This window comes from Homo sapiens, chromosome 4 (assembly GCF_000001405.40).
Source record: "Homo sapiens chromosome 4, GRCh38.p14 Primary Assembly".
Lineage (NCBI taxonomy): Eukaryota > Metazoa > Chordata > Mammalia > Primates > Hominidae > Homo > Homo sapiens.
This window is the reverse complement of record NC_000004.12, coordinates 26,405,230-26,430,552: the sequence shown is the minus strand read 5'-3', so window position 1 is coordinate 26,430,552 and position 25,323 is coordinate 26,405,230. Positions and strand designations below refer to the sequence as shown.

Below are 25,323 nucleotides of genomic sequence, written 5' to 3'. Positions count from 1 at the left end.
CTGGATGATGCAAAAAGTTTTATCAAGTACCTGTACATAGTTTCAGCTTCTACATCCCCAAACCACACTCGTAAATTTGGAGTGAAATTCTGTCCTGTAAGTTCAAGCATTGCTACGTCCCCACCGCCATTCAACTGCAATTCACAGAAAATCACAACACTGAGAAAACTTTTCATTTTTCATTAAAGTACACAAATTAGATTCTCATTCAACTTTCATTTGTTTTTTTTAAAAAAGGGCAATTAAAATGTTTTTTATTACAAAGCTAGCTAAAAACATTTCAAGATAACATACAAGTTTATTTACATTTAAATTTTCTGGCAAGTACGCTCCTCCTAATTTTGTTTTTTTTTCTTTAAATCAACAAATGGTGTATATAAAAATCCCCTAATCAGACGATTGGAGAAAAATCAAAACTCCCATGAAATGAAATGATGCCAGGTCACAGCTGAGAGTAGCTGCAAAGAGCTGAAGGCCAACTTGGACTAGGCGTTCTCACCTGAAGGCTCTCTACCACAGGCACAGGAGTGACTGGGGCAAGGACAGGGCCCATTCCCTCATAAAATGTATACTCTGCCTTATCTGTGCTAATGATTGTCCAGGAAGCGCCATCATTTATCATCTCTTTATTTGGTTCTTTTGGACATGGAGTGGCCTAATAAAGAAAGAAGTTTAGAAACTAAGTTTTATACAGTTTGTATTAATAGGATAAGAAAATTTTACCAAGTAACCCTCAGACAAGAGTTAATAAGAAGATAACTCAGTAAAAACTTATAAACTTTCTAAAGTATGGTGCTTTGCCAATCCCTACATAAACACAAACAGAATGCTAATACAGAAACCCCATAGACAGCAGTTTTTCTTATAATACAAACTATTTCAGTGACATATTAAATAATAATACCTTTCAGAACAACCATTATGAGTATACCAATGCAGGTACAATTTCATTAACAGCAGATCAATATCTGTGATGTAAATGGCTGTTTAAAACTCTTCAAGGACTCCTAAGAAAGACAATGGGACTCCTCATGCTTAGGCAACAGCTAGAAGCTTATGCATGTTCCATGGGAGGGAATCAAGATGGGAAGGCAAAGCCCCTACCCCTACCTTAACACACCTAGACCAGGGACTCAGCATGCCCATCAGTGTGTATGGGCATCTCTCTGCAAAGGAGTTTCACATGAAACCATAACTGTCTTATTAAATCATCTGCCCATGTCATAACCTCATGAAAGCCTTCTGAGTAAATGTAAAACATTAGCTTTCAAAGCATGTCATCATTACTATCTTCGGAAACCACGACATAAATCTGATGAGATTTTGAGCCTTCACCCAGAAAAATGCTTTGTCTATACAATGTTTGCACACAATTTCAGAGGATTCAATGAGCACTGAAAATCTATTTTTGGATATCCTGAGGGGCTCTTTGTTCTTCAATTAAGAACCCTGGAACTAGATGTTAACTGTTTTCTCTGAGAACATTTTCATAATTTTGAGTTCTTCCTTGAGGAAGGATTGCTTGCATGTCTGAGGATTGTGTGTTAAGGATGCTCATACCTGAGATAAATATCTGTGTATAGCTTCATGTATTTGTATATAATTAACAGCAAATGAAAATTTCATATTTTTGCAAGCTGCTAACCTCACAGTTTGTACATTTTAGATTTCACCAGTAATTTAAAAACATACCTGAAATTGAATTATTCTTTCTTGAGAAAGGCACAAATACATTCTTTCTGTATCCTTAAGGTAAAATGCACATTTATGGAGTTGTGACACAGGATCATCTGCATCCAATAATGCGGTCTGCTTATCAACTTTCCTAATTATCTATATTTAACAATTAAGAAATAAAAGGTCATCCACACATGGAAAGGATTTTCCTTGTGTAAAACATCAAAAGTACATAGAAGCTATATACTGCATAATAATACATCACAGTTATTTGTCCTATGCCTACATATATAAAAACATTCACAAACAAAAAGACTAGGAATAAAAAACACTTTTAGATTGCAAGCATGTCAGAATGTAGAAACTGTTACCCTCTTCCCTGAACATCTAAAAAAAAAAAATCAGGCAGGCAGGCACTTGTTTTCTAGATCAGTGTTTTTCAAACATTAATGTGCACATAAATGAGCTGGGGTTCTTGTGAAAAACACAGGTTCTGATCTAGCAGGACTCTTGTGGGGCCTGATATTCTGCATTTCTAACAAAATCCCAGTTGATGTTAATGCTGCTGGCCTACAGACCATATTTTGAACAGCAAGTTCTAATGATATTTTCCAATAATATGCATAAAATGACAAATACTCCAACATCAAAGGGAAAAATCTCTAGAAGGCTACTGTCAGTGCAAACGTCTTATATCTATTATCCAAAACTTACGTATTTAAAAACATAACAAAATCAAACTCATTTTACAGATTACAAAATGGGCTTAGAAAGGTCAGACAAATTGCTCAAAATTACCAGTTTAGTAGCTGAAGGACCAGAATATGTCCTGATCCCAGGGCTGGCTGCCTGTCCAACTGATCTCTAAAGCTTATAACGCAACTAGTCTACAAAACACATGAATATCTGAAAGATAATACTATCAAACCCTATATGACACTTGACACCTAGAAGGTAATGGCTAAGTAGATGATCATGATGAAGAGCAAAATTTGACACAGAACTTTTACTCTGTTTCCTTTTCTATTGATCACTTCCAACAACATACAAACATAACTATCTCTCATCTCAAAATCAAAAGTAAAGAAAACACTGACTACATGCTCCTGTCCCTCCCTCTCACTACCTGTTTTTCTGCAAACGCCTCTTCCTCACTGTCCAATCTCCTGCAATCTCTCCAACCTTTTATCTCAAAGACGCCACTACAACTGCTTTTCAAAGCCACCAAGGATTTCCAGACAGATGCATCTCACGGCACTTTTCTGTCCTCATTTTACTTCATTTTCTCAGAAGCTCTCAACACATTTTGCTTTCAGGACCACAACTGCTCCAACTGACCTTTAAAATGCCCAGAGCTGAGTTCTCAGCCCTCTTTTCCTCTCTTTATAATCTATACTGTTTAAAAATTTAAAGGTTGACAACTCCCAAATTTATTATCTCCAGACTTCTCTCCTGCATTCAACTTGTATGTACACTTAACTACCTATTCAACATTTCCACTTACGATGTCTAACAGGCACCTCAAGCTTAGCATATCGAAAACAGATTTTTGGATTTCCTCCTAAACTTGATCCTTCCCCAACTCATCTAGGTCAATAAATGGCACTAGCATTCACTCAATCCAAAAACCTTAAGAGTCACCCTTGATGCCTTGCTTTCTCTCACACCCAACCATCCAATCTGCCAGCAAATTCTGTCAGGTCCACTTTCCAACAAATCAGTCACCCCTCACCACCTTAATACTATGATCCTGGGTCTAAGATAGCATCAACTCTTGCCTCAATTATGACAACAATCCAAGCACCTGTCTCTCTGCTTCCACGGCCGCATTGCTATGCTCTCTTCTCCACACAGCAGCCACACATATACTTCTAAACAAAAATAGGCCATCGTGCCCCGTTTAAAATCCTCCAGTGGCCTTCTAACATGCAGAGATAATATGAAGTCCTTACCCTAGATACAGAGAGGGATCCTACAAGGTCTTGCTTAGTGCTAACCTTACAGATTCAGTTCCTGCCACTTGACCTCTCCTCCCTCCGCTCCAGCTCCACTGGTTTCTTTACTAGTCATCATACATCCCCTGCCTTCAGTTCTGTACTTGTTCTGTTTGCCTGAAATGCTCCTCACTCAATTACCGGTTCTTTGACTTCATTCTGGGCTCTCTTCAAATACTGCGACTTCAAAAAGACTTCCCTGACCTCTCTAAGCGCTCCTCCAATTCTCTATCCCTTTATTATCTTGTTTTGTTTTTTCATCACTACATAAATCCTTTACATGGGTATTTGGCTTATCACTCTATCAAAATGTAAACTCAATGACGAGAGGCACTCGACTTTGCATGTCAGAATTCCTGTCATGAAACCCCTGGAAAGATTTATGTATCAGCGTCTTAATAATGGTACTGCAACTTTTTCTAATAAGTTAATTTTTCATTGCAACATTTTTATATAAAGCCATACAGTTTTGAGTGTAAAAACCTCAATTAATGACTTTCAAGCAAGGCAGGCTACTGGTACTTTACAAACAACTGTAAATGAAAACATTGTTTTAAATTTGGGTCTGTCTTCTAAGTGGTTTGTATTATAAACTATTGGTGATCAGAATCATCCTCCTAAGTTGTGCTTCTGCAGTACAAGCATTTAACACCAAAGCAAATGAACATCATCCTTGGAACAGAGGAAATGAATGAGAAGAGAAAAAAAATGAATAAATGCTGATTCAGATTTTTTGCTTGCTTCTGTCTCCTGCTCTGTTTTTCATGCCCTTCATTCCCTAACGTTACCCTTTTTATTATAATTTGTCTCAGCTGCAAAGCTTTACAGATTACTATTACTATACTTCATGTCTTCTAGCTTATTGCATTGACATGGGAAATAAAATCACCTTGTACAATCATGACAGAGGGTAAAAAAAAAAAACAGTAACAAAGAAATGAATCACTGGCTTAGAAAACTGTAGATCAAACCAGCCTCTGCTGAAATGACCCCAGAAAATATAAGCCAGTGGAATATTGCACCAAAAAGATAAATAGGAGGCATGTTTAGGAACATTAATACTAAATGTTCTTCTACTCACCCAACCTCTTCAGTCTGACCTTGAATCAAACTTACTCATAAATCCCCTTCATCTTGAATATAAGTAAATTATATTGTTTGAGAAAAGGAGAGGGAAAATTGGGAGGGTGGTGGCACTATAGAGGACTTTTGTTTTCATTTTACTAACAAAAGTAGTTTTTACAATTTCAAGATCTCCTTTTCTGTGGTTGTTGAGATAGGATCTCATTCTGTTGCCCAGGCTAAAGTCCAGTGGTACGATCACCGCTCATTGCAGCCTTGACCTCCCGAGCTCAAGTGATCCTCCCACTTAAGCTTGAGACTACAGGTGTGCACCACCATGCCTGGCTAATTTTTTTTTTGGGGGGGCGGGGTCAGTGGTAAAGACGGTCTGACCATGTTGCCAGGACTAGTCTCGAACTCCTGAGCTCAAGTGATGCCAGGGCTAGTCACTTCTCCTTCTCCTGCCTTCACCTGTTGAAGTGCTGGGATTGCAGGTGTGAGTCACCATGCGTGGCCGAGTTTCAATGTCTTCTATTGAACAAAAGCCCTAAATCCTATGCCCTGCTCCCAGTTAGAAATACCAATTTTATTTCAGTTTTAATAAATCTATCTTCTTGTGAGAGAGTAAGCTAACAAAAATTACGCTTATATTTCAAAAGAAATAAGAATGTCTTCTGTTTGCAAACTTGGTCCTACATTGGGATATGGCAGGTACCACAAAAAAATGAATACGGTTTATCCGCATTAGTAAAGAAAAGAAATGTAATTTATAGTGCCCTCTACTGAACATCTTCAGATAAACAGCCAAAAAGGAAATTGCCACCAAAATATATTGGAAATCATTTAAGAAAAAATCATTAAGAATGTACTTGTAAAAACTGGCTATTACCTTAAAGCATTTCTGAAATAAGGTAGAGCATAACTGTCAATTATAAACAGCACTGATTACTAACATACCTTTTAAAATTAAAAAGCATAAAACTGAGGTGTGTTTTTCCATTTGAATGTTGTGATTTTCCTGTTTAAGAAATTAATTTTTACTTCACATTATCACTAAAGCAAAAGTAGAGCCATACCAATCTTGGGAGTGCCATGCCAGTAACTGAGCACACAAGTTTGACTGTTTGTCCATAATGGATGTAGCCATCTCGGACTGTGAATTCTTCTCCTTCTGATTCATCATCATCCACTGCAGTAGGTGGAAAAATAAATCAAATTGTCATCTTTTTAAATTTATTTTATGATTAGGCAAATGACAAAACTTAATATATCCATGTATCTCATCAAAAGATTTTAACAATTTCACACTAAAAACATTAAATGCACACTTTTATACTCACAGAGATGAATAAAAAAGGCTCCCCACTGCTGTGAACTGGCATGAAAATTACCTCCTTCTACATGCAAGTATCTGGTACTAACTGTCTGGGATCGTAGTCGATTAAACAGAGCCACCTTTGTTCCTGAGGCAATGCATACTGCAAAGAAAAAACAGCTCTTATTTATGTGATTGGAGCAGAAGGTGGGGAGGGAGCAAAAGAAGGAAATTCTGCTTGGCAGTGTATAATTATTCTTTCTTATCATTTAACAGTTTGACAAATATTTTCACTTTCCAAGACAGTACAGATGATATCAAAAAGTCAAGGTAACTGTTATTAATAATGTCAAGCTAATGATATCAAATGTCCATAAAAATAATTTTAAAGTGAAAGCTACACAGTATGTTTAATGTGGTGCTGATTATTAGAGAAAAACTTACTTTTAAAATAATGTTAGACAGTAGAAATTTAAATGATGACCTATTGAAAGGATGTGTATCTAAACACACTGATAAGAAAATATTTTCCTGGAATATCACTGAATGGAAAAGCAGACTATAAAATACTCTGTATGCTGTGGTTCCATTAGGCAAATGTATATATTTTTAATATGTGTTTGCATCCAATTCCACAGAATACATGCATAGAAAAGGGACCAGAAGGATGTTTGTCAGAGTTGATGGTAAATGCCTCTGCATACTGTGATTTCAGAAAATTCTGCTTTCTTCTAAATAAAGTATTGTATGAAATTTCTTGAAAATAAATCCATGTAAGCAGAAAAACATTCTGAAAGTGAAATATGTTCTCTGCCATCAAGAAACTAATATTCAGTACAAACACAAAGTTAAAGCAGTTACATAAAACTGTGTAATCTGAAATGCAAATAGCCTGAATACAAGACATAATATACCTCCTAGTGCAAGAGAGCACACCACCACCTTTGAAGCAGGTCTTGCTTTTCAGAAAGAAAACAAGAACCAAAGGACAACAAACTTAAATCTGATCACCATTCTACACTAAAGATTCTCTCCTTGACCATACTTTTAAGCAGGCTGCTCTGAGCAATCAACTAGTATTTGTCCTTGAGCCCCGTCATCAGTCTGTTTAGCTCAGTTATATATAGTAAGAATCCTCCTAAACTATCTCCCACTCTGGATCTATGATCACCTTGGCCTGCCTTTAGCAGGAATCCTAAGTCAGGTCAGAAAGAAACCTTCTACCTTTGATGTCTCCTTTTAGAAAGTTTCCATCCATTGACCCTCTCACTCTGCTTCATCCCCAAGTGTCTTTGTTGTATTCTGAAATGGAACTTGGTTCTATTTTCCCCTATTGCAATAGTACTGAATGAAATCTGTCTTTCCAACTAGGCCCACGCTCTATTTCTTTTTGACTCTACCAATTTACAGAAAATACATTAAACTATACCAAATAAATGAAATCAGCAAAATCTAGTACGTGGAAATCTCTAGTGACTAAATGTTTCAACTTACTTAAATAAATTGCAAGAGTTGAGGGGGTGTCCATAGATTATACTCAAGGACATATCACAATATAAACTGTACTAAGTGGTAGATCTGAATTTTGATTCAAGCAATCTGATTTTTAAAATATTTTAGACCATTTTAAATTTGAACACTGATTGGATATGCATCAAACTAAAATAAGGGCAGAAGAAAGTGGGGCTGGAGTACAGGTATAGATGAAGATAAGATTGGTTGAATGTTAAGATCACTGTTGACGTTAGAGAATGAACATAAGAGGTTTCACTGTATGGTGCAACTCTGTCTACTTGAGAGTGTTTGAAATTTTTCCGTAATAAAAACTAAGTGATATTAGTGGACTGAGTGGACTAAAATATAACCAATACAAAACAACAACAATAACAACAACCACAACAAAAACCATGATCTCATAATAAAACAAAATGAAAAGAAAGCAAACAAAACAAAAACCCTAAAACCCCACTGGTCACTTTCAAGGAATGTTATTATTCTGCAAATGAGTAAACAAGCACCTAATCCTGCCTTTTCATTACATATTACAATTGAAGCAAATAGCTGATATGGCAAAGTCCCTCTTTGTAGAAAAAACTCCAGCTAACGAATGCAGAAGTTAGAATTTAAAAAATTAGAATATCACCATTTTGCAGCATTTAATGAAATGGATTTAAACATCATCAATGACTATTAAAACCATTAGGTTAAAGTTTGCTGAGGAACTTTATGGGTGGAATAGACTTACAACAGCTGAACTACTATAATCAATCTCAACATGACCAAAAAAAAAAAAGGGGATAATCAGATATTATGACTTCCAATCCAATGGAAATAAATGTATATCTTACCAATCAGTTCTGAAAGTCTTTATGTCTAACCACCAGTTCATGGAAAGTAAGAGAGACAGAGAAACATATAATCAGCCAAACCCAGAATATGGAATTCCACAACAGGAAAAATGATCCAGTTTCTTCAACAAATAAATGACATAGAAGGAAAACAAAGGTGAGAGAGGGTGAGAAGAAACTATTACAGACTAAAATGTGTGGACCTTATCTGAATCCATGTTTGAACAAACCACTGTAAAACAAAACAAAGCAAAAAAACTATAAAAAGACATTCTGGGTCAATCTGATAAATCTGTACATGAAATAGGATATTAGATGACACTTAAGAGCTGCTGTCAACTGTTACGTATAATGATGTTTCAAAAAAAAGGGCATGTATTAGTCACTATTGCAGAAATTTTGGTTGAAAGGATAGGATGAGATTTACATTAAAATACTCCAGCAATTAGAAGACGAAGAGGTGTTGGTGGTGATGGAGATAATGAAACAGAATTGATAAAACCTGTTGAGGCTGGGTGGCTAATTTCTCCCTTTTATATAAATTTGAAAGTCTCAGCCAGGCATGGTGGCTCACGCCTGCAATCCCAACACTTTGGGAGGTCGAGGTGGGTGGATCACCTGAGGTCAGGAGTTCAAGACCAGCCTGGCCAAATGGCGAAACCTCATCTCTACTAAAAAATACAAAATCAGCCGGGCGTGATGGTGGGCACCTGTAATCCCAGCTACTCAGGAGGCTGAGGCAGGGAGGATTGGTTGAACCCGGGAGGTGGAGGTTGCAGTGAGCTGAGATCCTGCCACTGCACTCCAGCCTGGGCGACAGAGTAAGAGTCCATCTCAAAAAAAAAAAGAAAAGTCTCCATAATAAAAAGTTAAAAAAAGAAAAATGGGTGTGGAGGTTAAATTTATAATTCAAACATACTTGTTTGGTAGTCTAAAAATAGGCTGATGAGACAGCAGTCTCTGCCAGAGCAACCACATTAAAAATTGTGTTTAGATTCTCAGGAAGGCCTGCCAAAGCCCATTTAGTTGGTAGCGTTTTTCAAAGGGGTACTTGTTGACATTGTGGGTAGATCAATTCTTTGTGGAATGGGAACTACCTTGGACACTGCAGGACATTCAATTCAGCACCACAGGCTCAAGACACCCAAAGCCAACATCACCCCCTCCAGTCACTGTAACAACAGAAGGAGAAAATCTCCCATTTCCCCAGAATGTCCCTGGGAGCATTAAGGAACCAACTCTGGTTAAGAACTGCTTCATTAGACCACATACTGTCGATTTACGATTAAAAAAAGAGAGACAATAAAGAGGGCCACAAAAATATTAGTAAAGAATTAATTGGCTATTGAAAAGGCAATTTTTAATTTAAAAAAGAGTCTGTCTTATTAATTCATGGTGGCAGTTGGGGATAAATAAGAAAAGCATACATACAGTCAGCATTTTTCAATGACTGCTTCTTTTTGGAAGGTTTGGAGATGACTTTTATCCGCTTGCTGAGGAACACACCAATGTCATCACTGTTGCCATAGAACATCTTTACAGACAACATGAAGTGCTTTCGCTTGTCTGAGTCAGATATATACAATGTTTTGGCTGTGCAATAGTTCTGTGAAAGAAAAGTAAAGTTTTAACAGCAGCAAAACCTTGTTTGTTTATGTAGTACCTAAAACTCAGAATGGCCATGGTTTAAGTAATAAGTAAAACAATTCCAAGGGATAGCTGATAAAACCAACTCTAAAAATTATCAACTATAAAAATTACTGAAATTGATTTCGGAAAAGTACAAAGTCTTCCTTATAAAGTCTGTAGAACACAAACATTGTCATCTATTGTATCCTCTTTAAAAGACCATTTAAAAAAACAGCCTTTTCTTGTTTTACATAGCTCTACAACTGTATCATGGAATTATCACTCAACGTTACAGCAGTAACTTTTAAAATAAATTTTACAGTTAAAAAAAATCAATGACTTTCTCCAAAAAAAAAATAATAATAAAGCTATCAGAATTCAAGAAATTATGTAAAAGATTTTAGCAGTAGTTCTTCTCAAAATAGTGCATAAAATATTTTTCTTTATATAGCTGAACACTAGAGTAATCACTTATAAGATTGAGGAAAACAATGATAGACAAACTGGATGATTATAAAATATCTTAAACCAGAAAGAGATTATATAAGCATTACTTTAAAGAACTATTTTTAAAATGGTTAACTTTGCCCAAAAGGACGATTCATATGTATCACCAGAAGAACTGAATTTAAAGGTACTAGAGAAAATGCTCAAGGCATTATGTCAGTTTACCAGAATTTAAATTCTGATAACTGAAAAGATAAAGAGATATAGCACTTTACAAACAGCAAAGACCCTTCAAAATGCTACTGCTTATATTATATATAACAATTCTAAAATCTTTCCTATTCTCTTGATCCCTGTGAATCAGGGAGGGGTCTAAATTATTGTCCTTTTCCAGATAAGATAAATGATGCTGAAACACAGCATAAGTATCTAAAGTATCGAATTATATTTTTTAAAGGATCAACATTCCACTTTAAAATTAAGCTAAACAAGTTTCTTCAACTGCCTCTCCTGTATCTTCCTTTTAAAAAGCAGAGCAAATGCTACTCAGGAAACAGTTAATGACTTCTAGGTTTTTATCTTTAAAATTTTATTCACAGACAGCCTCGGTAGCAGACAAAACTACTGCAATAGTTTATTGTATTTCTCATAGCAAAGCTATATAAGAAAATTTAGATGCCATCTTGAACATTATACATTTAACTAAGTTTTTAAAAATCAAAAGTTTGGTAAAAGCTTTGAGAGGTTTTGCTCTGTAGAAGGCAAAAATAAGATAAAGCCAATCATAGTAATAAATAAAAACAGGCCAGGGTGGTGGCTCATGCCTGTAATCTCAGCACTTTGGGAGGCCAAGGTGGACAGACTGCTTAAGTCCAGAAGTTTGAGACCAGCCTGAGCAACATGGTGAAACCCCATCTCTACGAAAAACACAAAAATTATCCAGGCATGGTGGTGCATGCCTGTAGTCCCAGCTACTCAGGAGGCTGAGGTGGGACGGTCGCTTGAGCCCAGGAGGCAGAGGTTGTAATGGGCCGTGATCCCACCACCGCACTCCAGCCTGGGCGGCACGGTGGCACCCTGTCTCAAAATGAATAAAGATAAAGAAACAAAAAACAACAGTACTTTGCAGTCACATCACTCCTTGCACCCAAGATCTCTAACGCACTCAGAGATGGCATCTGTGAGCTGCTATACCCATAGGTCGGCCATACTCTTAAAAGTGACAGACAGCATTGAAGGTCAAATTAAGCCTAAACAATGAAATTCTTCTGCAACATAAGACGAGGTCTATGAAAATGGGTATCAATGTACTAAAGCAGACAGTCATGGGAAGCAAAAATGAAATTTATATCTAAATGAAGGTAATTACATTCTAATGGGAAAGCTTAAAAATGTTGAGATGGCTTTTGAGTGTTAAAATTAAAAGGTAAGATCCATATCAGAAAGAGAAAATACTGAAATCCAGCATAAATAAGACATATTGGCAAACAAGAACGGAAAAAAAGAACCAAGAAGGTTGGATCATAAGACCTACACAAAAAGAACTGCATTTTGTTCGGAAAAAACAAACACACATATATCTCCTTGGAAAGAAAGGAAATATATCCCTAATTACAATGAGTAGTTTGAATCCACAAAAATCATAATCAAGATAATTTTATGGGAACTATTAGTTTTAAAAAACTATAAGGCCACTGACCACAAACTACTCAAATTCCATTAAGAAAAGAAGGAAAAAGTCACTGACTCATAGAAAATAAGCAAATAAAACTAAAATTACATTTGCCTTGCTATTGCAAAAGGTTAAATTAGCTAACGGAATTCTAGAAGAGAAAATGGCATATAATCATCTCTCTAGAAATACTCTTTGAAAACAAGATCTTTAGGCAATAAAAGACATTTCCCTGAAAGAAAGAAGAAATACCAAATCTAATGCTGCAAAGTGATACTGCAGAAATGTTTAAATTATAGAAACAAAATGTTACCAAGAGTATATGATGTTTAAAAATAAGAAAAACACAAGAGTGTTAACTAAGTCATCCTTGTTGCGTAGCTTACCTAGCTGTGACTATAAAAAATGTAAATTTTTTTAACAAATTAAAAACATTACACAAAATCTAAGATCCAACATATTACCTACATACAGCCAAATGTCATGACCATAAATTTAAAGGGCTAGATATACTAGAATTTTGTTGCAGTGAATATTTAAAATAAGTATAAACACCAAAAATTGCAAAATGAATATCCCATATTTCTCAATAACTAATTGTACCACTCAATGAACAGACTATTTCCTTACACGAATGGAGTTTAAGTGAGGCAGACAAGAGCAAAGTGCCTCTCACTGAAGCTCAGAATCCGCTGCTCAGGACATCTTTGCCTACCTTGGTCAAAACCATGTTCTTATACCTTTATGCTCTAAGCACATGATTATATTGTTTTTTTTTCTGCCTGGGATGCCTTCTACTAACTCTCACCAGTCTTGCTTTACATAAACTTCCCTAATAGAATTTTTCCTTAAAATTAAATATTAACATATAATTTTGGCTTACAGACATTGTACTAACCTATTACTAGGTATTTTAAATACTAGTTAAATGCTCAAGCTCTCAGGTATTCTATTCCTCTTCTGCCAGTTTCTAGGCCTTGGGGAAAGGGTATACTAGTGGAAGTTGAAGAAAGATATAATGAAAAACAGCAGAAAGATCTCCATGTTGAGGCAGCCCCTAAAGGTACAAAATTAGGATGTGGCACTACTAAGCCACAATGCTGCGAAAGGCAAGCAGTGATACTACTGGTTGGTTTATTTGGTATCACCTCATTTAAAATTACTGGAAGCTGGAACTGGTTAAAATGAGCAATGAAGTAGGATTAAACAGTTATACACACAGGTAGCTAGAATCCCTGGCTTCTCACTACCTATCTGATCCACTCATTCATAGTACTGAATGTCTACATGTGAAGCCTGGAGACATATAACTCTGAGACTTCCTAGGTAACAAGAAAACAGATGAGACAAGACTTAAGATCTATTAGATCAACCCACCACTTAAATATATTCGTTACTTTAGCTCAGGGATCATAATTTAGAAATAGTTTTAGTGGTTTAAGATGAAACAATCTTTATTGTAATAAGTATTATCCCAAATCTAATTTAAAATACATAGTCAACAAATCTTACTTACAAAAACTATAAAGATATAAATGACATACAAACAGCTAAATTTGAAGGAGGTTGACATTAAGACCTGTAGTACTATCTGTAAAATCACTAAAATTCAATTTGAGAGTACAAATCCCCTAGCTCACCTCCACCAACACTACTCCCAACCCATATACCTAGTGCCAACTACAACATAGCAAACACTAAAATATTCAACAAGGATGTATCAAATAATGAAACAGCTGTTTATGCGCTATTTTAGAAGATGTTTAGTCATTGAGATCAGAACTAACCATTTTCCAAAGTACAGTAGCAAGGAAAAATAAAACCATAGCTAAATTCTAAGTGAATAAAAAACTATCTTTCAATACTAAAAGTATAGATTGGCTGGACACGGTGGCACACACCCGTAATCCCAGCACTTTGGGAGGCTGAGGTGGATGGATTGCTTGAGCTCAGGAGTTCAAGACCAGCCTAGGTAACATGGCGAAACCCCATCTCTACAAAAAAATACAAAAAAGTTAGCTGGACATAGTGACACACACCTATGGTCCCGCTACTTGTGAGGTGGAGGTTGCAGTCAGCCAAGATTGCACTATTGCATTTCTGCATGGGTGACAGAGTAAAAACCCTGTCCCGGGGGAAGAAAAAAAAAGATCTAGATTGACTGCTTTCTAAATTCATACAATATAATCAGTAAAACTAGCTGATAGATTGTTTTCTCTAGAAAATTAATTGAAGAACCCCTGCCACGCACTAAAATTTGAGTAAAGCCAACTGTGGCTGTTCTTGTCTACAGTATCACTCTGCTTCACTCTGATGTCAAGTAAACGTTTATGATCGTTATAACCCAGATAAATGCTTTCCACAATGTATATATCATCGTGTCTAGTATAAAACTAAGATTAAAATAGCAGAGTAAAACATTACTGAACAATGTATTTTTGTTGATAAACCTCTGTCAAACAGAAGATGAGCAATCAGCCTCCTAAATTTATTACTGGCTTCCAATAGAAATCTGATTTATAGTCTGCTAAAACTGCTTGCAAGCTGGGGAAGCTTACTGCATGCCACCTTCCAATGTCAGCAGCGTAAGCTTCATGAGTGACTAGACCAAAGCTATGAGAGGCATGTTTTTTGGTCCTAGTTTATATATTCAAGAAATTGTTACCAATAGTTATTAAAGAAAAAAATCTCCACCACAAAAATGAATATGAAAACTACATTCTGGTACCATGGTGCCCCTTTCTGGTGAACTAGCAGTCTTGATTTACCTTTCCTTCCAAGTTTAGCTGCTGCATTTCTTGGTCACTATTTCCTATCCCAATAAATGCACACGGTTGAGACTCTTGTTCAGAACAACCATCGCGTTCCATTTGTTCTTTTTTTTTCTTCCATCCACTGCCCATAAGATATACACAAGGAGGTGGGCAAAAAAACCTGAAGAATAATAGGGGAAAAAAAAAAACAAGAAGCAAAAATCAATTAGATTCAATAAAGCATTTCCTTTCCTTGAACATTATGAATACAAAATCATATTGAAATGCACCTATTCCCCAATGAAAAATTTTGGTGAAGCCTTTTGTAATGCAAATAATCATGCCCACAGGACAGAAATCGGGACTTCCACAATGACTAAATCTGTTCAGGCAAAATATTGGAGTTATGCATACAGTTAGATTAAATACTTTTTAGAGTACAGAACTTCTCTTTGTATGGCTCAGAGTTCTAAATTACCAGAGTTCAGCAAATCCAGTGTACTCTAACATATTACAAAACACGATAAACCACCACAAAAATCTGTAATTACTAATTAAGGCCTATTCAAAATGACACAATCATTAATGAGTGACATTACTATTATGGATACTGCATTTAACTTAATGTGGTAATTAACCTGGAAAATTGTGTTAGAGCATTGTCCATAGTAGAAACATCCAAAATATTAATAAAACTAAGCAAAAGAGCCAAAAATACATGGATCTCCTGATTATGAGCAGTGCTGTGTTTTATATATCTTTGAATTTTATACACACTTGGAACACCTGGTGCGCTGTAGATATCTGAGAAATATCTCATGCTCAAAGAACAATACACTGTATTCTTTCAACTCACAGAATATGACAGGTTTGTTTTGCTAGTTGTCAAAAACCACCTTCACAAGTTCTTCTGAGAATGATTTTCTTATAATCTTTTATTTAGCAATTAAAAATATTATCTATTGCAAAGCCTAGCTCAAGGCTCATATTTTACATAGTTCAGACCATCAATCCAGTCCTTATATAGGGTGTAAATTCACCTTTGCTCAATTATAATGTTGACTTGTACACACTTTAAAACATCTATGCCATATCTCTCTAGAGGGCCTGAAAACTCGAATTAACTATAGTAGCCACATAAGTAATATAAATGGGTGAACGGCGCGTACAATAAACAGGAATATCCAGGCTGGGCGCGGTGACCCATACCTGTAATCCTAACACTTTGGGAGGCAGAGGCAGGCGGACTGCTTGAGCCCAGGAGTTTGAGACCAGCCTGGGCAACATGGCTAAACCTCATGTCTACAAAAAATACAAAAATTAGTGGGCGTGGTGGCAGGCGCCTATAGTCCCAGCTACTCTGGTGGCTGAGGTGGGAGGACCAACTAAGCCTGGGAGGTCAAGGCTGTGGTGAGCTGTCATAGTGCAGCTGCATTCCAGCTTGGGTTAGAGTGAGACTCTGTCTTAAAAAAAAAAAAATTAGGAATATCCTTTAGTTACCCAAAGAAGTAGTTTCCTTCTCTTCTTTCTTGAAACACACAGCCTCCATTGTCATTCTCACTTCTTGTACTGTTATTAGTACAGAAAATGGCTTACTTTTCTTAATCCTAGTATAAGAAAACCCAGAGCTTAAATGCAATGATAATCAGCCACTAGTGTATATATACCCACTCACACTCACGTGGCTGAACTATGGGCATGCAGGCCTAGTGTTGGTCCCGTCCTCCAATTGTTCAATAGATGACTGAAATCAAATTTTATATGAAATACTGTTTTTTTAAATTTGGCAACTAATTTACACTTATTAACACTCTGTAGGCCAACAACGTGCAGACTAAAAGAAAAAAACTTTATGTGCATATGTGCACACACAAGCAGACACCAGCAGGCTGGATTTGGTGCTCAGGTCTTCCTGAAGGTGGTAGTATCTACTTCTTGTTTGCTTCCCCCTCAGCCTCTACAATATTATCTACTGAACTGACTGAAAATATATTAATGGAACCTACTTTTTGCTCAACCCTAACCAGACTACTTTAGAGGCAATTTACATATGACTTACAAGAAGTAAGCTGGGTTTATTTAATATTCATTAATTCTCCAAATTATTTATTATATCCTGAGTGTGTAACAGATACTGGGGATATAGCAGTAAAAATAAACAAAAAAATTAGACAAAATTCCTCTCCTCATGGAACTTACACTCTAATAGGAGAGAGATAATAAAAACAGATAAATGAGTGAAATAACATGCATATGTACTCCATTAGCTGGTGATAAGTATGGGGAGAAAAAAATAAAGCAGGCAAGGGGTACTTGAAATGGGGACGGCCCAAGGTGGTCAGGAAAAGTTTCCTTAAGAAGGTGACTTTGAGTCACGACCTAAAGCCATGTGGACACCTGGGGCAAGAGCATTTCCACAGAGGAAAGAGCCAGTGCAAAGGTTCTCAGATAGGAAGGACTGTGACCAACAGTGGGGAAACAACCAACAGACCAGAGCGGCTGGAGTACAGAGCAAGAGGGGGATTAACAGGCAGCGAAGCCAGAGGTAGCGGACAAGTAGACCAAGGAGGCCCTACGGATTTAACTGAGGGAGGAGGGAAGTCTCTGTAGTCCTCTCACATTTATCTAATCCAATAGAAAAGAGCAGTTTTCATGCCTGTATACTTACACTGAGGCCAAGGATATAAAGGTCACAGCCAAGTTAGTGGGCCCAGTTCCAGGTCACTCTAAATTTGGAGGGAAGCCTGGATTAGCTGGGCTAGTTTTGGAGTGGGTTCAGTTCAAGTCTACAAAGGGGAGCTTTCTGGCTTCTAATGCTGGGAGCTACCCAATGCTTACTATGGCACAGAGTCAAATACCTAGGTTGGCACACTCTCAGGAGGTTGAGAAGGCATCAATTTTGGAAACACATCTCCTGTTTTTTTTAATTGAACATTGATGTTAAGACTCCTTAGTAAATTGGTGTATCAGCTATAAAACTCAAAAGAGCTGTGTTTTAGTACAGGTTGTGTATTCCTTATCTAAAATGCTTGGGACCAACAGTGTTTTGAATTTTTTTTCCCCAGACCTTGGATTGTTTGCATTTATACTTAGTGGTTGAACATCCCAAATCTAAAATGCTCCAGGCTGGGTGCAGTGACTCATGCCTATAATCCCAGCACTTTGGGAGGCTGAGGCAGGCAGATCACTTGAGGCCAGGAGTTCAAGACCAGACCGGCCAACATAGCAAAACACTGTCTCTACTAAAAGTACAAAAATTAGCCAGGCATGGTGGCGCACGCCTGTAGTCCCAGTTACTCAGGAGGCTGAGGCATGAGAATCGCTTGAACCCAGTAGGTGGGGTTGCAGCGAGCCAAGATAGTGCCACTGTACTCCAGCCTGGATGACAGAGCAAGACTCTTACAGGGTCATGTTGGCACTCGGGGTTTTCAGATTTTGGAGCACTTCGAATTTTTGGATTGGGAATGCGCAACCTATATGCCAAATACAGTAGTCAAATCTCAATGAGTTATCATAAATGGTACTTTTTTTTTTTTTTTTTGAGACGGAGTCTTGCTCTGTCACCCAGGCTGGAGTGCAGTGGCGCGACCTCCACTCACTGAAAGCTCCACCTCCCAGGTTCATGCCATTTTCCTGCCTCAGCCTCCCGAGTAGCTGGGACTACAGGCACCCGCCACCACGCCTGGCTAATTTTTTTTTTTTTTGTATTTTTAGTAGAGATGGGGTTTCACCATGTTAGCCAGGATGGTCTCGATCTCCTGACCTCGTGATCCGCCCGCCTCGGCCTCCCAAAGTGCTGGGATTACAGGCGTGAGCCACCGCGCCTGGCCCATAAATGGTACTTCTTAATTTCACATCTGAAAAATATAAAGAGAGCTAAACTGATAAAAGAATGAGTAGTGCTGGTTTTCTCAAAAGTACTGTGACAAAATGCATGAAATGGTAAAAATCAGGTTGATAAAAAATTCTCTATTCAAAACACTGACCAAGGTTCTATCTTGAAAGTGCTTTCCAATCATGTAATAAATATAAGAAAAATGAAGACTTTTCAATAGTCTGAGTCTTTAAAAAAAAAAAAGTCAACTCTAAATTATTTCAAAAAGCCATGATGGAAGTAGCAAATCCAATATAATCTAAACATTCAAATTATTTCTATATTGCTGATAAAATCATACCTTAAACATCCCAATATCATCATCCCCTAAAATACGGCAAACAAATCAAGTTGTTGCCCATACTTCGTAAAAATCTAGTGATTGAATAAAAGTCAGCATATATACAAAAAAAAAAGGCAAGAATACACGCAAAAGAAACTAAAGGGAGTGGGGTAAAAATAAAAGGCCACCAAATTAACAGAAGAAAACTTAAATACATCTTTATTTATTTATTTATTTATTTAATTTTAAAGACAGAGTCAGACTTTCACTATGTTGCCCAGGCTGGTCTTGAACTCCTGGTCTCAAGGGATCCTCCTGTCTTGGCCTCTCAAAGTGTTGGGATTACAGGCATGAGCCACTGCACCTGGCCTAAAATATATCTTATGTGGTGTATTTTAGGCCAGGTGTGTGAAACTGACTATTTTTTAAAATTTGGGCAGTTGGTCAATATGTATCAAACACTCAGTGAAAAGTCTGAAAAGTGGTTAGCTTACAGAATTTAACTGCTGCTATAAAAAGATATCCTATAAAACACGTTGCCTTTATTTTCTCATCTTCCCTAGCAGCTCTATCAACTATAACAAACAATACTTTCTCTGCCACTTGGTGGCGATATGCACACATTTAAAATTTTACTCCTTTCACAGTTGTCTTTATTTTCAGAGACTGTTTCAACCACTGATTTCCTCAAATCTTGAGATGATGTCTGAAAACTGCCTTACAGATTCAAAGAAGGCTTTTTATCCATTCCAATATATAAAATAAATTAGGTTAAACAGAATCCAAACTCATGATATTTGCATTATCTTGCTACCTTTGCAGAATCATCACTAACCTTTGATGATTATTCAGTTCACAAGGACCATATTTAGGAACTTTTTGCATGCCACAATTGGCCAATTAACACAAATCTCAATATGACTTCAGAATCAGTCTAAATGACTTTACTGTTCATTGTTTTAACAGCATCATTACTGCTACTGCTTAATTACTTCCTTCAAGAAAGCTCTAGATAAAATAATCTTTTAAAAAGTTTATTCTTTAACCTAAGATCTTACTTAATGAGAAATTAATCACTAATATAAATGGGGTACTAGATGTGCCATGCAAATAAATACTAGTTATTAGGCACCATATTTAACATCAAGAACAATTTTAAATTTGGAGATAAAATTTCCTAACCAAGTATTTTTAAGCATCACTCACTGGAGTTATTTTGTATGCCAAAAAGACACAGCCAAGAGGACTGTGATCATGCCCCCAGGTAACCTCACGCCTTACGCCTTTGCAACTCTTCAAAAAGGCCTGAACCAGGATCGGCAAGAAAGAAGACAGATCCTCTTCCCACTGTGCACTCCACCACCAAGTAAGAGCCCAGAACACTTCTCTGAATCCAGGGCAGTTTGACAGACATCCAGAGGGCTAGATTAGCATTAGCAGTCCTTTACTACTAACACCTGTTTTTTAAAAAAATCAAGTAAATTTAATGGGTTTCCCCTTTATCATAAAGTAATGCAGGTCTACTTTGAAATTTTTAACAATACAAATCAGTAAAAATATAGGAAAGTAGTTACTCTGGCCTTTTCATCATTTTTGTTCATTTTTTAGAGGACTTCAAAGCTTAGATTGTTAAAGCTTTCTTTTGACTGGGGTTTTAGACCAGCTAGGCCATGCCCAAATAATACACAGAAATTGAAAATAGGCTGGGTGCGGTGGCTCACGCCCGTAATCCCAGCACTTTGGGAGGCAGAGGCGGGCAGATCACAAGGTCAAGAGTTCGAGACCAGCCTGGCCAACATGGTGAAACCCCGTCTCTACTAAAAATACAAAAATTAGCTGTGCGTGGTGGTGGGTGCCTGTAATCCCAGCTACTTGGGAGGCTGAGGCAGGAGAATCATTTGAACCCAGGAGGCAGAGGTTGCAGTAAGCCAAGATTGCACCACTGCACTCCAGCCTGGGCAACAAGGCGAGACTCTGTCTCAAAAAGAAAAAAGAAAAATAAAAGCTACTACAATAAAAGATATGGTTAAATTTTCCATTTTAACTTGACAAACCACTACAGCTCTCTATATATGTTGGATCTTTTTCTTTTTTAGACGGAGTCTCACTCTGCCGCCCAGGCTGGAGTGCAGTGGCACCTCGGACCTCAGGTGATCCGCCCACCTTGACCTCTCAAAGTGCTGGGATTACAGGCATGAGCCACCATGCCGGGCCGTATTTTTTAACAGTAACTAACAAACAGGAACCTTATCTGGACTTTAACACAATTTTCTAAATAGGTCTTCCCCTTTTGTTATCTCCAACGGGCCTCAGTTATACATCCCGGTATTAAATGACACAGTGACTTTTAAAACTCCTAGTAAAGGTCCTTTTGCATAAAACCTAGCACACAATAGCCAATCAGAAATAAAGAATAAGTGAATTCAATTGTACTAAAATGCATCTTCAAAAATCCAGAGAAAAGAAAAGCAGCTTGCCTAAATTTGAAGCTATATGATAAACACACATCTATTCATAATTCAATTGGGCTAGCCCAATCTCACCTAGGTAATGGAAAAGGGTTAGTCCTAGGCAAAGTTAAGTTTACAAAGTTTAAGTATTTAAAGGATCTTTTCCTCCTCAATCCCTGCTCTAGATAACCAACACTCAAACGCAAATGGAATGGTATGGCAATTAGGGTAGTAAAAAGGGTAAATATTTAAAATTAGGCCCTCAAGAGTTCCAACCCTAGCTCCACAGATTCCTAACTAATGTCAACCTGGACACATTTAAAGTCTCTGATTTTCAGATTCGTTGCCCACAGAATTTGGATCATAACATGACTACTTTACAAAATTGTTACGAGGATTACAACTTTAAAATATTTATAAAGCACTTTGGGAATCATGTCTGGCTCATGATTGGAGCCAATATGAAACTGTTTCTACCTCGGATTCACTATGAGGTGCACAGCTGGCCTTTTAGATTCTTCCTCCATAATGATGGGTGTTAACTTTTTCTGTTTTGCTTAAAAAGCAGAAAACTTGCTATAAACACACACTAAATTTTATTTATGAAAAAAAAAATACTGAATTTCTAATATCAACTTCGTGGGAAAAAAAAAAAGGACCACTAATTTGAGTTGGTACGCTATGTCCCAAACTACAGATACCAACTTCTTCCCATCTTTAACCCTAAATCAGTGTTTAAGTTGTATTAGTAAAGTACGATAAAATAATCAGAAATTTAGTAAGCCTGAATAACAGTACCTGGCAGTATGAATCTTAAATATTGTTTTCACTTGTTCATCTTTGAGGATTAAAACTACCAATTAAATAGCTTTACCTTCTTGGCCAAGCACGGTGTCTCATGCCTGTAATCCTTTGGGAGGCTGAGGCAGGCGGATCACTTGAGCCCAGGAGTTTGAGATCAGCCTGGACGGCATAGTGAAACCCCGTCTCTATAAAAAATACAAAAATTAGCTGGCCATGGTGGTGAGTGCCTGTAGTCCCAGCTACTCAGGTGGCTGAGGTGGGAGGACCACCTGAGCCCAGTAAGTGGAAATCATACCACTGCACTCCAGCCAGGGCAACAGAGACCCTGTCTCAAAAAAAAAAAAAAAAAAAAAAAAAAAAAGAAAGAAAGCTTTACCCCTCTTTTCAGCTCAGATCTAGTCAGCTTCAAGGAACTTCCTAAAAATTCTCTTTTAACATGTAAATTAATTTAATCACATACATATTACATTTCCCTTCTCTTAAGCATAAGCTGAGGTTTCCTTTATGTCACAATCTCTAAGAATTCTACTCATTCCTTTCACAACAATCCCAAAACCTTAGTTTTCATTCCTTTTCTCTTCAGTTGGGTACCTTTCTAGCCAATTAAAAAACCTTTGATCTTTCTCCATAAGCAGGCTTTTTCCATGGAATGCTTAACCAAAAAATGCTGTTTGAAAGACAGACTCAAGAAACTATTCAAAGAAAATTCCAGGAACCAAGTGAAGAAACAACAATGAAAGTCCCCAATTAAACATAAAAAATGCGGAAATTTATAGAATACCACAATAAATAATTTTTTAAAAATCACCTTGTTGTAATTTAATTTTGGTTAATCTACTTTATAGGTAATTTCTGTTGAGTCCACATTCAAGTAGTATGAGAGTATGAACCCAGTTTTGCTGTTTCTTCTTAATAGCAACCCAAACAAGAATAGGATCAAGAGAGAGGGCCAGGAGTTTTCTTTATAATCATTCCATAGCTCAATTAACCTAAGCTCAAGACAGTTTTAGGATCAAGAGCTTATTCAGCCTTTTCCTTTGCAAAACGGTACTTTTGGGGTCACATTTGCGTAAAAAACTACATTTTCCACCAAAAAGAAAGCTTCTTTGTGAATAAGCTAATGTATCACATAAGTATTTCGGGGACATTATGTAGCCCAAAAGAAAAACTGTGGATTATTTCATTTTGTAAGATCAGGGATTTATTAACCAGATGACCTTTATTAAATTACCCTTCTGGCTTGAGTGTATGTAGAAAGTAGAAAAGTTCCACCTTCAAAGCTCGTCTTGGTTTGAAAATAAAATAACAGACACTAGAAATCATAGCTTCTTACTCTAAAGCCTCCTATCAACTATCAGTTCTTACACTTTAGCCCAATTAGTTGCTTTGGCTTATTCAGGCATGTCTGGGCAGGCCCAGGCAAGTCTTAGCTCATAGCTTATGCCCCTTCCTTATTTGGAAATGTTATTGCTTTCTTAAACCTTTTGTAAGCAACTTCCTCTCTTCTTTGTTCTCCCTTGCACTTAACGTATTTAGGAAAGTTTTATGTTAGTAGCAAATCAGGTATCAGTTTAATACTGTGAGGTCCAGCTCCAGCCAATGGATGCAGGACACAGCAGTAAGGATGACCCAAATGCGTAAGGGACAAATATGTCTGCTTTTCCTTTGTTCAAGTGTGCTCTCTCCATTGTTCCATCTGCGAGGGGCACCCTTTCTGCAGAAAGTAAAGACTGCCTTGCTGAGAGGTCCTCTGTCTCCATGCTGACTTTTCTTCACAGCACCAATTATCTATTCCTAACAGTATACCACAATTCACTTTGTTTCTCCCCTTCAGGAGACAAATCCCCTATTTTTTATTTTGTACTAGCAAATGAACCCAGTAATAGAAGCCATCCTCTGACATGTATATTAATACATAATTGGCAAATTCATGTGGTAACTACAATTAACTATCCACCAGAAAAATAATCTTACCTTTTTTCATTTCCATATGACTTCTGTGCAACTTTTGCATGAAGAATAAGTACTGTTTGATCCCCTCGCTCTTTTAAATAATTTCGCATAGCTTCCCTAAAAACAAATACAAATATTACTGTTACAGAGGTGAAATTCTTGATGAAATCTTTCATCATTACTACGCTCTGTAATGAGAGGAATGCTTATAAATATTTTTTAAATAAGCAAATCTTAAAAACAAAAACAATAAAGCAAAGTAAATCCATAAATTAAATTGGAAGATTATACAATGATACAATGAATACTGCTCATTTTCAATTCTATTCCTTGTTCTTTAAAAATAAGAAACTGTCTCTCATTCTTTGGAATTTATGATGTAACTCAAACCACAATTACACCTTCCAGAATAACTAGAATCAACATATACACTGCTAATGTGGCTCTAAAATATTATAAAGTTAATAAAATGCAGTAATTTTGTAGTTTAATAATGTAATTCCCTTCCTCAGTTTCCCTACCCCAGCTATCGGAAGCAATGTTTTTCATTGAATACAAAAGCTGTAACAAATCCTTAGGCCATCCAAATTTATTATTACATGATCCTAAAATGACAATCCTATAAGGACCAAGAAAGGCCTATAGTTCACATACGAATACATAATTATCTCAAGGATATTATTAAATAAATAAAATTTAATAAAGTAATTGAAATCGGTGAAAATCTGAATTTTGAAAAAAATACAATGTTAATTCTTTCAAGTAAAAACAACTCTACATATTTATTGAGCAAATGGTCTATACAAAGTTCAATATCTTAAATGTATTTACATACTCAATTGTTTTGCTAAGCAATATTATATAGTAAAAAGAAAGCAAGCTCTACACAGATGAAACTATAACAATTCTGAATAAGCAGAATCCCAATTCTTGAGATGTCTTACACATCCCAAACTTAAATGTTATTTTCCTGATACTATAAAGACAAATATCAGGTATAAGAGCATAGCTATACAATAGTAATACGTTATTAAATGTGAGGACTTCTAGGTTTACAGCACT

General features: G+C 36.7%; 1 protein-coding gene across 18 annotated transcripts in view, besides 1 other annotated feature; it reads right to left on the bottom strand.

Annotated features, from left to right (window-relative positions):
* Positions 1 to 25,323, bottom strand: part of RBPJ (recombination signal binding protein for immunoglobulin kappa J region) — a 329,683-nt gene that overhangs the window by 4,579 nt on the left and 299,781 nt on the right. For 16 of the 18 annotated variants that reach the window (XM_047415656.1, NM_001374401.1, NM_001379407.1 and 13 more), the window contains 8 exons: positions 24,283 to 24,378; positions 14,913 to 15,078; positions 9,828 to 10,002; positions 6,074 to 6,211; positions 5,810 to 5,922; positions 1,693 to 1,833; positions 500 to 655; positions 31 to 134 (listed from right to left, as the gene is read on the bottom strand). In XM_047415656.1, the coding sequence (XP_047271612.1) occupies positions 31 to 134; positions 500 to 655; positions 1,693 to 1,833; positions 5,810 to 5,922; positions 6,074 to 6,211; positions 9,828 to 10,002; positions 14,913 to 15,078; positions 24,283 to 24,378 (1,089 nt within the window). The remainder of the gene's footprint in view (positions 1 to 30; positions 135 to 499; positions 656 to 1,692; positions 1,834 to 5,809; positions 5,923 to 6,073; positions 6,212 to 9,827; positions 10,003 to 14,912; positions 15,079 to 24,282; positions 24,379 to 25,323) is intronic. The other 2 variants (NM_001379408.1, NM_001379409.1) reach the window with 1 other exon arrangement.
* Positions 23,635 to 24,834: an enhancer, noted in NCBI's record as "MED14-independent group 3 enhancer chr4:26407341-26408540 (GRCh37/hg19 assembly coordinates)". NCBI's record gives its function as "activates an origin of replication core promoter dependent on BRD2, BRD4, P300/CBP and CDK7 cofactors, and independent of MED14, by STARR-seq in HCT116 cells {active_cell/tissue: HCT116}" and the evidence as "EXISTENCE:reporter gene assay evidence [ECO:0000049][PMID:35650434]".